This window comes from Homo sapiens, chromosome 20 (assembly GCF_000001405.40).
Source record: "Homo sapiens chromosome 20, GRCh38.p14 Primary Assembly".
NCBI lineage: Eukaryota > Metazoa > Chordata > Mammalia > Primates > Hominidae > Homo > Homo sapiens.
In genome coordinates, this window is record NC_000020.11 from 17355725 (window position 1) to 17369733 (window position 14009).

General features: G+C 42.5%; 1 protein-coding gene across 3 annotated transcripts in view; it reads left to right on the forward strand.

Moving 5' to 3' along the window:
• PCSK2 (proprotein convertase subtilisin/kexin type 2) overlaps positions 1–14009 on the forward strand; it is a 258472-nt gene that overhangs the window by 129618 nt on the left and 114845 nt on the right. For all 3 annotated transcript variants that reach the window (NM_001201528.2, NM_002594.5, NM_001201529.3), the window contains 3 exons: positions 2603–2716; positions 4808–4916; positions 13516–13553. In NM_001201528.2, coding sequence (NP_001188457.1) covers positions 2603–2716; positions 4808–4916; positions 13516–13553 — 261 coding nt within the window. The remainder of the gene's footprint in view (positions 1–2602; positions 2717–4807; positions 4917–13515; positions 13554–14009) is intronic.

Here is a 14009-nt window from a genome sequence, read left to right on the forward strand (position 1 = left end):
ATAATTGACCAAGGCCCCCAGCTGCTGCACTCTGAAATCTGTCACTGTGCCAACAAGGCCACACTCCCCCCAGTGACTGCGAGCAGCAGGGGAACTCAGGCAGGCCCATTTCTGGGAGACACAGGGCTCCTCAAATTTAATCCCCAACAGTTTTACCAAACCATCCTTAGAGTACAGGGGAATCAAGGATGAATTTGCCCAACTTTGTTCACTGTTCTTTACTTGGGGTCAGACTTACATCACAGTTTCTTGTATTTTTCTCTCATAAAATACTTGCACATTTAATCCCATCTTGGCAATGGCTTCCTAGAGGATATACATGTGTGTGTGCATATATATGTACATATGTGACAGTATGACACACACATATATACACACATACACATATATATTTATATATATACACACATACATGTGCATAAGTATATATATATATGTATATGTACCTTTGAATCATAATTTATCTCCATTTGATGGGCACTAGTTAGGTCCAAATTTTTGCCGTTATAAAAATACCCATCTATCCCATTTTTCTAATTATTTCACATTTCTTTGGGGAGATTTTTTTTTAAGCTTGCCACAGTGACTGTGACTGTCCTTTGTTGGAATACCTCCAAAGAACTCCCAGAGCCAATGCCACACTTAACACTTGTTTTCCACATGTATAGATTTTCTGGTGTGGCTTCAATTTCTCTGGTAAATGAGCTTCAGGCCTTCTCATGTCAGTGTGCAGAGTAAAGAAGTGAGGATCTAGCCTTTCACAGGATCCTCTGCAAGGCAGTGCAGTAAGGAGGGGAAGGGTTTTCTGCCACGTCTGTGGTCTCTTCATTCTTCTCTTCCTGCTGTCATTCTCGACCTGGGCCCTGCTGTCCTTCTCTCATCTGGTATCCATTAGAGTTCTTGATTACAAGCAACAGAAATGGATTCTGCTTCACTTCAACCAGAGAGAAGTTGTCAGGAAGATATCGGGGGCTCACAATCAATGGGCAGCTGGAGGATCAGTCTTGAAAGCTCCGGGGCTGGGTTGCAGGAACATAGTGAGGATCTTTTACTAGAAGAGCCTGGTGAGGGAACCTCCAGGATAAATGGGCTCCAGGGGATCTTGGTCCTTGCTTCACCTTCCCAAGATTCAAATCCTGGGAAAGAGACACCCACAGAGGCACCCCTAAGGCAGAGGGAGACTCTAATGCCTGCAGCAGGCGGGCACCTAGAACTTCACTCCACCAACACAGAACCTGATGGATTGGAAGTAATTCCCCCAAATACACTGGGGAGATTTGGGAAGAGGAAAAAAAATGTTGGGCTACAAAATATAATAGTAATATCTAGCAGCACCCTTTTATATATGTGCATAATCCTTGAGTTTGTACATGTTCGGAGACTGGCCACAACTGTTGCATGATAAATTAGTCTTTGTCCAAGTGAAAACAAGTTTCCTGATTAAAACAAAGCCTAGCCATTGCCAGAAGCTGCTTGAACTAACTCAGCTCCTAAATTGCATTTACATCCAAGAGCTTGGGGTTCTTTCTGGCTGTCCAAAATTGAAATGTTGTCAGTGCAAGGACACACCATCCATCAATTTCTTCTCAGAGGTTCCTCTCTACCTTCTAGGACTTTGCTATGGCATTTGTTGGCTCTCCATGCTGGCCTCATTGTTTGTCTGTTTGTTCTTGTCTTGGGGAAGTTTTCTTTTTCAGCAGATTCTCAAACGTGATAGCACTGTCAACAAATTAAAGACTGGGAAGCCATCCAGAAAAATTATACATGCTGTTTTCACTCTCTCTCTTCCTGAATCCACATCAGTCCTCTCTCCTTAATAGAAATGTTCCATTGTTTTATTTCACTTAATGACCCCTACCACATTATCTTCTTTAAGAATACTTTACTCAGCCAGGTGCGGTGGCTCATGCCTGTAATCCCAGCACTTTGGGAAGCCAAGGCTGGTGGATCACCTGAGATTGGGAGTTCAAGACCAGACTGACCAACATGGAGAAGCCCTGTCTCTACTAAAAATACAAAATTAGCTGGGTGTGGTGGCACATGCCTGTAATCCCAGCTACTCAGGAGCCTGAGGAAGGAGAATCGCTTGAACCTGGGAGGCCAAGGTTGCAGTGAGCCAAGATCATGCCATTGCCCTCCGGCCTGGGCAACAAGAGCGAAACTCTGTCTCAAAAAAAAAAAAAAAAGAATACTTTTCTCTATCTAATTCTTACTTTAGGGAAACTCACTTTGAGTCATCACCAAAGCCTGTCTGTTCAGTGCAACCATAAGTAAATGCTCTCATAAAATAATGGTAACGGGTCAGGCACAGTGGCTCACGCCTGTAATCCCAGCTCTTTTGGAGGCTGAGGCAGGCAGATCACTTGAGCTCGGGAGTTCGAGACCAGCCTGGGAAACATAGCGAGACCCCCCCTAATCTCTACAAAAAAATACAAAATAATAATAATAATGGTAAGGTGAGCATGTATATGAGATGAACTTGCTTTTGCCAAAGAAAAAAATACACCTGATATACAAATGAAATTTGGATTCATGGAAACAAATTCCAGAAGACAGAATGTTCAGATTATATTCAGGTAATATGTCAGCATTGTCATTCCAGGTAAAGATGGCTTTGCAGCAGGAAGGATTTGACCGAAAAAAGCGAGGTTACAGAGACATCAATGAGATCGACATCAACATGAACGATCCTCTTTTTACAAAGCAGTGGTATCTGGTGAGTGTCTTTATGTCCTTTTGGACATTTCCCATCTTGAGACTCTGGATAAAAGATGAATTCCTGTATCCTCATTATTCACTAGGATGTTAGCCAGTATCCAACCCAGTGACCCTCTCTGTCCCCTTACATATGTATTGATTTTCTGTCACCACCTGTGCATCTAGTTCTCTAATCTGCTTTCTTCTGGAACTGCTAAGTAGCCCTTGTCTCCTAGGGTGGAGGCTATGACCAACAACTAGTGGAATTCTCTTCAGTTCTGAAAAAGTGCACCAGTGTATGACTGAAGATTAGCAAAACTATATAAAAGTCAAATCAGAGGTCTGGGAAGAGTAATGCAGGGGTTTCAACAGACAGAGTAACAGGGGACATAATGAAGTCACAGGCCTAAAAGAAAGGATCCAATGACTTTGCAAGGGGCTAGCAAGAAAGCTTGGAGACTAAAGTAGCAAAAAGAGCATCTATTAATGCTTCCTAAAACAATGGCAGGAAATCAATTCCATGGGGCTTAACTGATGCAGGCCTGGAGGCACTAAAACCCATTTTGCCTGGTGAAGTGAGCATTTTGTGGGTCACCAACAGTTCATCATGATCCATTTGGATTGGCCAAGCTATGTTTAAAAAGGGATCAGTGACTCCAAACCAACCTGAACTGCAGGGCATATTGACAGAAAGGGAGTGACTAATTTGTAAATGTGAATGAAGCTGTATTTTATTTAAGATTAAAAAGTGATGAACAAGAGAGAGAACTAAATTACAGCCTTGTGGACGGCTACATTACAGGAATTCATCACAATTTCCCTTCTGGGGCTTCAGAGCTTGACTCTGACTTATGCTTTTTGGCATGGAAGTCCGAAAATCCAATATGGGTAATTGAATGAGTGTACTTGTATTAGTTAGGATAGGCTAGGTTTGTTGCAATAATGAACAACCCTCGGATCACAGTAGCTTATCAAAAGCAAGGCTTGTTTCTCACTTTTGCTACACGACTAATGCTTCATAATTGCTCAGAAACGCAGGCTGACCAACCTCCATCTGAGCTCCATTCCCACACTGCTTTCATAAGCCCTTCAGCAAGGAAAAGGGGCAAATTGTAGAATTTTTAAAAGAAACTCTTAAAGCTTCTGCCTGGATGTGAAAAAATGGCACATGAGATCACATGTCATTGGCCAAAATCAGTCATCCGCCATTCTAACTTCAGAGTGGGTGGAGAGGTGTGTAGTCTTAACATGTCTTTAGAAGAAAGAGCACAGTAAATTTTTTAAAGAGCCCCAATGACAATCATACAATGTTTTAGCAATATCATAACAGCCACTGATCACTGTGGGCTTTTGCCAGTACAAGCTCTGACTTCATTATTTTTTTTACAATCCATCCTGGAGAAAACCTACACAGTACAAAGACACATGAAGATTGGGAGTGGACATATTACTGTGGAATTGCTCTTTGTTTTCCTTTCTTTCTTTTCTGAAATATTTTTGGGGGCCAGGATGAGGGGCCTTAGGATTTATTTTTCTGCATTAGAACATGCACTAAAGGTGAGCCAGTTTTCTTTAATTCAGTTCAACAAATACTTTTGAACAAGACTTAGTGTGGTGGCACTGAAATTACAAAGATTAACTAGGACATGTCATCTCCTGCAAAAGATATTGTTATTTAGTAAGAAGTTATATTCAAATAAGAATAATCCAAAACAATATGCTGTAAATTCAAAACATGAGGTAGAAACAAAGAGCTATGAAAGTGAGCATTTAATTCTAAATCAGGGAGGGTTTCCTGCAATAGCAGCTCTCTTATGGAAAAAGTTTAAAGATAGTGATCTAGTTATAAGATATTAGGGGATTGAAACTATGTTTGCATATTTACAGAAAACAGAAAACACAAAGTGTTTATACCAAAAAAAAAAAAATGGAGAGGAAACACTATAGGTAGGTTGGGAGGGACACCCAAAAGTACTGTTTCATGGAAGATGTGGCCTTTGAGCTGGTCCTGAAATATTAGATGGCTATAGAGTATGTCAAGTAAATATGTACATGGGTGCTTTACAACACCAAACTAATACCATTCTCTGCTTTGAAATTCCTGTACCAGATCAATACTGGGCAAGCTGATGGCACTCCTGGCCTTGATTTGAATGTGGCTGAAGCCTGGGAGCTGGGATACACAGGGAAAGGTGTTACCATTGGAATTATGGATGATGGTGAGTATTTTGAAGCCTGTGCCTCATTTGGAAATAAGCGTGCCTTTGCTTGCCTTTTGATAAAAGTTGTATTGTTTTGGAGATGCTAACCAGAGATGGAACAGCAAGATACTGGGCATGATGGCCACACTGCACTGTGCCCAGATCTTCACCTTTCTTCCAATCAGTGGTCCTCAAACTTGAGGTTGCACTTAACAAATATTTTTTGAATTAATAAATAATAAGCTAAACAAATGAATAAATGAAAGCTGCCTATCACTCAACCATAATTTCTTACTGCTTACACTTTACCTTAAAATGTCCTCTAAACTCTTTATATTCACCATCAATTTCTCTAGACTCACACTATCCAATGTAGTCACCACTAGCCATATGTGCCTATTTAACTTTACATTTTAATTAATTAAAGTTAAATAAAATGTAAAATTTTATTTCAATTCCTCAATCACACTAGCCTCAAGTTCTTGATATCCACATGGGGCTAGCAGCTGCTGAAATTCAATTCCATTTTCATCATCACAGATAGTTACATTAGCGTGACTCTACATCCATAAAACAGCTTTTCAGTAACAGGATTGGAGCTTGGGGAAATTTGACTTTATTGCTGCTTTCAGAATGAACCCTTGTAAAGTAGCCTTTGATAACTTTTTATTACAGACATCCCTTACATGTTATTCAACCTGCGTGCCTACCAAAGACTTAGCAGAGCTTCATTTTCTATAGTTTGTGATATGAAAACCAATGGGCTTGATGAATTGGCATTTTTCCAACTACACACGTCCTTGGCCCTGCCAAGATTGTGGAGAATTGCCGCCTGTGGTCGTTTCACTGGGGATGTGTTGTTGCCCTCCATCACCCATCTGGGTCTGCCAGCAAAAAGCTCTACTGTGCATTATTGACCCAATTATATACAAAGGCTACACAGAGATGAAACAGTTGAGCCTTTCCCATCCGAAGATCCTCAAAGAACAGAACACTATGTTCCTTAAAGTGAGGCTTTGAAGCAGAAATGACAGAGGAAACCAAGAGGAGCCAGCCTGCTTAAAACCTGCGTTGTCTTGTGTGGGCTCATTAAATATCAACATAAAAACAATGCCTCAATGTTTTTTGATGTGTGAGACATTTTTAAGTGGATGTAAAACCTTCCTCCAGAGGCCAAGGGCTCTCACAAGAAGAAAGGAGCCCTGCATGAGAGTGTGTGTGCTCAGATGTCAGGAGTTTATAAATGTTTCTTCTTTTCTCACACTTGTTCTTGAAAACTGTTCCAAAGGGGTTCAGGCCAGCTCACCCAGGAAAACAATGCATCAGGATTTGGGGAAAACCTACCTAGGAGATATTGTCATGACCATTTCTAACAGCATATCCTACTGGGTATCCCCAGCCGGGGATCAGAGAAGCCACCCTAAAAGTGGCACTAAAGTGCCAACAGATGTGCATTGCTCTGCTCTTAGGAAACCTCCAAGAGTACTGTAGATGCCCATTTCAGAATACTTTAACTGAAAGCTCTTTGACTGACTCCTAAAGTCATTGGCTCCTGACTCATTTCCACATGCAAAGGCAAGCCCTTTAGAAAGTCTCAGCAGAATTTCTCATTTGATGTTCTTTCTTCAGCTGATTAATGGCCTTTGGGTTCCCACAAAAGTAAACTCTGCCCCCCAATTACAATTCCTGGTTTCTTCTTCATTTTAGTCAATTACTGCTGCAGAACAAAGAATCCCAACATTGAGTGGTTTAAAAAACAACCATATTATTATCTCTCACGGTTCTGTGGGTTGCTGGAGTTCATCTGGGCAGTTCTGCAAGTTCCACTGGAGTCTATCATGCAGGTGGAGTCAGAAGGAAGTTGACCCTGGAGTCAACTAGAGGCTCCAATGGGAGGCTGAAAAGGCTCAGCCTCCCTCCCTTTCCATGGAGTCTGAGGACCTCTCCTCTCACATGAGGCCTCCAGCAAGGTAGATGGATTTCTTATAGGTGGCTCAGGACTCCCAAGAGTAGGCCTTCCAAAAGAGAAGAAGCAGAAGCTGCCAGTCCTCTTAAAGGCTAGACCTGGAATGGGCACCGGTAACTCTGCCACTTATGTTGGATGAATGGTCCCAGGGCCAATCCAGATTCAAGTGGAAAGGAAATAAACTCTGAATTTGTGGCCATTTTTAATGCATCACATGCTATTCCATATGATAACTGAAGAAAAGTATCCAAGTTCACTGTTGAATAGCAAAATGAGCACATTTGGGACAAGGGCAGCTCCCCACATGGTGAGGACAAGGACAGATGCTCTTGCCATGTAATTGGCCATCTCTGTCCTCACAGCTAGAACCGGGAAGGCTGGCAACATCAGTACTGCATTCTCTCTCTTAACGACCTGCACGCATGAATGGTATGGTGCCATGTCCCAGACATTTTCTTGGCAAGATATTCCAAAATAAGGTTAAAGACAGACACAGATGCCAACCCTGATACCTAAGGGCAAAACTAATGTCATATTCTATCAACATTGTCTCTCCACATGTTGGCCTGTGTGGCAAATGTTCAATCATCTGCGTGCAGAAGTTTAAATTTGTGGACAGCCAGTTTTAATCACTGCCCTCCCATCTCTGGTTGCCCAACTCCAAACTCAGCCATCATCCCCTCTGCTGGATCCAGTGACTCAATGGATGCTCAATAAATATCTGCTGCCTTCACGTAGGTACAAAGCAATGTCATTTCCACATGCTACATATCACTAGGAGAGGACCTCCATGGTTAGCTGCTGTCTAAAGGGGCAGAAATTATTTCTTAAGGGTCTACTAGGACATTTCACCTATGTAGATATTAGCAAGGACCCCATTTAATGATGACAACTTCCGCCCTTTTACTGTAATGGAATTGTTTAGAGTTGGGAACTTGACCTGGAAAATGGAATGTGATCATGACAAGATACAGGGATGGACAAGAGTCATCCAGCCCAAGAGTAATTCAGGGCAGATGGCTGGTTCTCAAGATCACACAAGATCAGAGAAGGCATGGGTCAAGGCCCTTAGCCATTATCAGATGGAGCCAAGGAAGTGAGATGGAAGGCCAGCGAGCTAAGGTCAGAGGGAGCTTCAAGCTGAAGTAAGAATAAACAACTAACAGTAAAAACGACGAACATTTATTGAGTAATCACTATGTGCTAGACACTGCTTAGCATTTTGGAAATACAACCACAGTTATTCCCTAAGGTTGGTATTATTATAATCGCCATTTTACAGATGAAGAAACTGAGGTTTAGGGAGGCAAGAAACTGCCCAAAGTCTCACAACTAATTCTAACCACCATTCTTGGTACTTGAAACCTAATCCTTTGCTCTGCCTTCCTGGTGAGACTTTATGAATGGGAGCCTCATTCAAAATAGCATTAGGAGATATACCTAATGTTAAATGACGAGTTAATGGGTGCAGCACACCAACATGGCACATGTATACACATGTAATTAACCTGCACGTTGTGCACATGTACCCTAAAACTTAAAGTATAAAAAAAAAAAAATGACACCACCAGGATGTGGAAATTCTCCAGGACAAAAGACAGTTTTTTCAATAAATTCAAATAAATAAATAAATAAAAGATTCAAACCTGAGGACCACATAGTCACCCACACCCTTCTGAGAGATTTAGAACTCTGCATCACATAGAAAACAGTAGGAAGGTCCAGCAGGGTGACTGCTCCAGTTACTTTTGCTGCATAACAGATAATCCTGTATTAGTCCATCTTCACATTGCTGATAAAGACATACCCAGACTGGGTAATTTATAAAGAAAAAGAGGTTTAATAGACTCACAGTTCCATGTGGCTGGGGAGGCCTCACGATCATGGCGGGAGATGAAACCGTGTCTTACATGGCAGCAGGCAAGAGAGAGAGTGAGAGCCAGGTGAAAGGAGTTTCCCCTTATAAAACCATCAGATCTTGCGAGACTTATTCACTACCACGAAAACAGTATGGGGGAACCCACCCCCATGATTTAATTATCCCCCACCGGGTCCCCCCAACAAGATGAGATCTGGGGGAGGACACAGCCAAACCATATCCAACCCCAACACTTAGCAGCTTGAAGTTGCTATTTATCTTTAATCATGATTTTGTGGCACAAGAATCTGGGAAGAGCCTGGCTGGGCACTGCTCACTCAGTGTTGCTCATGCAGTTATGATGTTAGCTGGGCTGCAGTCTTCTGAAGGCCCCGCTGGGCTGCACATCCATGATGGTGCACTCCTATCGCTGGTGGTTGTTGCTGGTTGCCACTGGAGCTCAGCTGGGACCGTCAAAAAGAGTGCCCACATATTGTGCTTTACTATAGTTTGGTCTTGATGTCTTACTCACCAGAGTGGCTATAAACTCTATCCTGCCCCAACAGGACTCCAGGGGATTGGCTGTAGATGTTTACAATGTGCCTTAGTCCGTTCCTGATGCTGTAACAAAATACCTTAGACTAGGTCATTTATAAATAACAGAGATGTATTTCTCACACTTCTGGAGGCTGGGAAATCACAAATTCAGTATCTGATAAAGGCTTGCTCTCTGCTTCCAAGATGGCCCCTTGTTGCTCCATCCTGTGGAGGGGACAAACACTGCGTCCTCCCCTGGCAGAAGGGGTAACAAAGGGATGAACTCTCTCCCTCAAGCCCTTTTATAAAAGTACGAACCCCATTCATGAAGGCACAGCCCTCAAAACCTAATCACCTCCTAAAGGCCCCACTTCAAAATACTATTGCAACTAGGGATTAAGTTTCAACATATATTTTAGAGGGACACAAACACTCAAATCTCAGCATTTCACCCTGCCCGCAAGCACCACCCCCCCGAAAATTTGTGTCCTTCACATACAAATACACTTTTTCTAGCCCAGTAGCCCCAAAAGTCTTGATTTGTTCCAGCACCAACATCAAAGTCTAAAGCCCAGAGTCTCATCTAAATATCATCTAAATCAGAGATGGGTGAAACTCAAGGTACGATTCATCCTGAGGCAAATTGCTCTCCAGCTGTGAACTTGTAAAATCAAACAAGTTACGTGTTTCCAAAATACAATGGTGAGACAGGCATAAAACATACATTCCCATTCCCAAAGGGAGAAATAGGAAAGAAGAAAGGAGTAACAGGTCTCAAGTAAGTCCAAAATCCAAAAAGGCAAACAAATTCTGAGGCTTGAGAGTAACCTTTTCTGACTCTATGTCCCACCTTCTGGACACACTGGGGTGGGAGCTGGGCCTCCAAGGCTCCTAATGACCGCTCCCCCATGGCTTCACTGGGCACAGCTCATGCAGCAGCTCTCATGGGGTGGAGTCTCATGCCTGCCATTCTCCCACACTGGAATCACATGTTAGTGGGTCTGTAGTTCTGGGGTCTCAGGGCAGTCCCACCCCCACAGCTCCACTGGGCTTTGTCTTAGTGGGGGTTTTCTATGGTAGCCCCACCCCATGGCAGTTCTCTGCCTGGGCCCCGAGGCTCTAGGGTTAGGGTTAGGGTTAAAGAACTGGAGCTCAGAGCCAGGGTTCTGACATGCTACGCATCTCAAGTGAACTATTAACATTCTACCTAGGAATGTGCACATGGAACTCCTTCCTAGTTCCTCGAGGTCTCCAGGACTGTCACCGCTTCCTGAGAATTGGGACTATTGTGGATTAGACTTTCCAAGAAGCTTCAAATTGATGATAGGATACTAATGATTTATGAACCAAATTATAACCAAGTCTTTGTCATTTCTGTGCCACATTTATTATGATTGGCTGGTGATCAGTCGGTACCCCCATAGGCTGTGAGCCATAGATAGTTGTACAGCTCAGGTTCTACGTCTAAATCACCTGCGGTTTTCCAGGACCGACACTGTGCCTGGCATTCACTGCTGAGAAATAAACAAAAGCATGAAGTATAAGAATGAATATGAGAATATTGTAAGAATTAAACATAAGCCGATTAGGAAGATGTGTTCAGTACCTCCCACCTTAAAAGATAATCAAATATACAAAAATATAAAAGTACTATCTAGTTACCAAATTACTATTTTCCATTCTTCAGTCCATTATTACTTTTTCCGAATCATGTTTGTTGTCCTTCACAGTCGTATCAATCATTCTCTTTCTCAGACCAAAGTCGGTATCTGTTCTAACTTAACACTTAGTATTCCTCTTAACCTAATTTAAGATCGTTTATTTTAATTAGGCTAAATTTATCTTGTTTTAATTCTAATTTCCTTCTGGTCTCAAATTATCTTCTTGCTCCAGTATTTTCCCTTGACAGAGAAGACACTACTATTTATTGGAACATTTTTCTCCTTAACAGCTTCCATTCTCAGAACATGAAGCCATGTTTCAAAAATTGACTTCCTGTTGGAAAATATATTCTCTGGGTGTGTCTTTTTTTACACTTATTTAGATAAGTTCGTTTGATCTAGCTAAGTGTGAAAAAAGACACACACAGAGAATATATTTTAAAATATAAATATTTAAAATATAAATTATATTTTTGATCATTTATATTTAGGTATAAATTATCAAAATTTTTCACCCAATGAGTTCACAAAATTTAAGCTATCTTAACAAATAGAAGCAATTTAATTTCAACACAATATGCTGAAACCAAGTGGATATTTTTTAATGTTTCTTTTCTTCTGCATATGCACACTACTCCAGAGATGTGGTAGATGTTAGGACTAATGATGATAAGAAATAGAATGTATTAAGTGTTTACTATAAGCTGAAGACTTTCAATGAATTGTCTCTAATCTTGAAAACCGCTTTGCAAAGTAAATAATAGTCCCATTTCAAATACATGGAAACCAAAGCTCAGACAGATTATGTCACTTGGCTAAAGCCACACAAGTGTTAGTGTCTGAGCCCAGAGTGGAACTGGATCCACTGATTTCAAAGCCTATGCTCATCCCCAACTTCACCCCACAGCCTAAACTGACCATTTTGCTGGGGGGATGTTTCTTGGTTTGCTTTTGGGGATTTGTTTGTTGTTTCCTTTTAGAGACAGGGTCTTGCTGTGTCTCCCAGGTTAGTGTGCAGTGATGTCCTTATTTTTGTAGAGACAGGGTCTCACTATGTTGCCCAGGCTGGTCTTGAACTCTTGGCCTCAAGCAATCCTCCTGCCTCAGCCTCCCAAAGCACCGGGATTACAGGCGTGAGCCACCATGCCTGACCAAAATTGACGGTCTTTGAATTAGGATCCAGAACAAGGGTTAACAACATTTAAAAATATTTGTCTTTAAATATTCTGATGCCTTTCCCTCTGAAGACTTCGGGAGGCAAGTGGGAGAAGAAGGCATAATGATTTAGGGAGGGGACTATAGTCTCCCAAACTATAGAAAGCAGCCATAGTGACAGCAATTGCTTCACTCATCAAAATCAACAGTGAAACCTAACACACGTACCGTAGATTAGTGACTCTCAGTCCAGTTACTCATTGTATAACCGGAAAAAAAAAGAAAAATTTCTTTTCAGAAATATGCATCCTAATACAAGCTCTTTTGGGGAAGGCAAATCTCTAATGGTGGCCTAGCCTTAGTAAGCATGCAGTGAAGATAGCAGCCTTGGGACAGATTTAATGATACTTCTGGCTTTTAGATATTGCATCCCCATATAGTTATTAAATGCACCAGCTGCTGGGCCAAGCATACCACATGCATTCATTTCTTTAGTCCTTACATTGTTCTCACCCCCAGTTGATCAAAAAGGAAAATTATCACAGAGTCCAAGCAACTTGCCTGAAGTCTTGCAGGCAGTTATCAGGGTGGTTGGGACTCAAATGCCTGTCTTTGACTCCACAGACCTACGTTTGTAACCATTATGCTAGATGGTGTCAAGAACCTGCCCTGTTTCTTGGAGGGTTAGATGCTCAGGTGTAACTGCTGCAAAGCTTATGTGGTTTTGCAAACCCAAATGAGAGCTTTTCAATTGCCCTTGGAGTTTCTTGATGCTTTCTGAGGTCCAAGGGTCTGATGGAACTCAGCAGTGCTCATAGTCCCTGATTTTACCCTTGGAACGACTACTGGGCAACAAGACAGGCCACCATTCAGGAGAAAGCAGGGCTCCTGCTGAGACATTCAAGCCTCAGGCTTCCTGGAAAGCCACATTCTGAGGAGACAAGCCTCAGCTCCCAACCAGCAACACCTCACTGGAAACCATTTGCCCTTTACCTAATGGCTTTTCTTGCCCAGCCATGTTCTCTTATTATTTCCATGCCAGAGTACATTCTCCTAATCCATTGCTGTCCATGCCCTGTTAAATAATAATCACTTTTCCTCCCCAGGGCCGGTTTCATTTCAGAGAAATGCCAGTTGATGCTTTAAAAATGTCAAGATTTCTACAAATCTCTTTTAGATCAGTGCTCTGATGAGCCATCCATCTCACTGTCACAAAGCTGTCTTGGGCAGCTGTCTCTCCGCTCTGGCAGTGCAGCCCACCTTCACACCTCCACACAGAAGGGAGGTGCAAGACTGGGAGCTGTGTGATGGGGCACTCACCCCCATGGCAAGCCTTCTGGCACCAGCCCCATAAAGAGGGCACTTTCTTGGGCAGCTTTCCTGAGGACACAGTGGCAGGTATTAACCTTTGGTTCCTGTGTTATTGTTGTCTTTTCACAGGGATTGACTATCTCCACCCGGACCTGGCCTCCAACTATGTAAGTACAAGCCAACTTTGGTGGGGAAACAGATGCATCTTAAATGTCCTGGTGTCCCTGGCTATTAGGAACATGCACATGTCTACATGTCTATACACATGCATGCAAGTACAGGAGCATGCACACACACACACACACAGGAGTACAGCTGCTGGAACATATGCACGCACACATGGAGGAACACACACAAACAGGAACATACACACACATGCATAAGCACAAAAGATGCACACGTACTCATAGGCACACATGCATGCACACACAGACAGCCACATGGGCAGCCACACTGGAACTGTCCATCCCATTGGAGCCACAGCTCAGGCCACAAGCAAATGGACAAGGCATGTGGCCTGGCAGCAGGCAAAGGCAGTGGCTTTGAGAGAAGAAAGAAACCTGACATCTGAAAGAGCAGAGTGCCAAGAAAGTAGGTACAGGGAGGGGGAAGAAGAGAGAGAC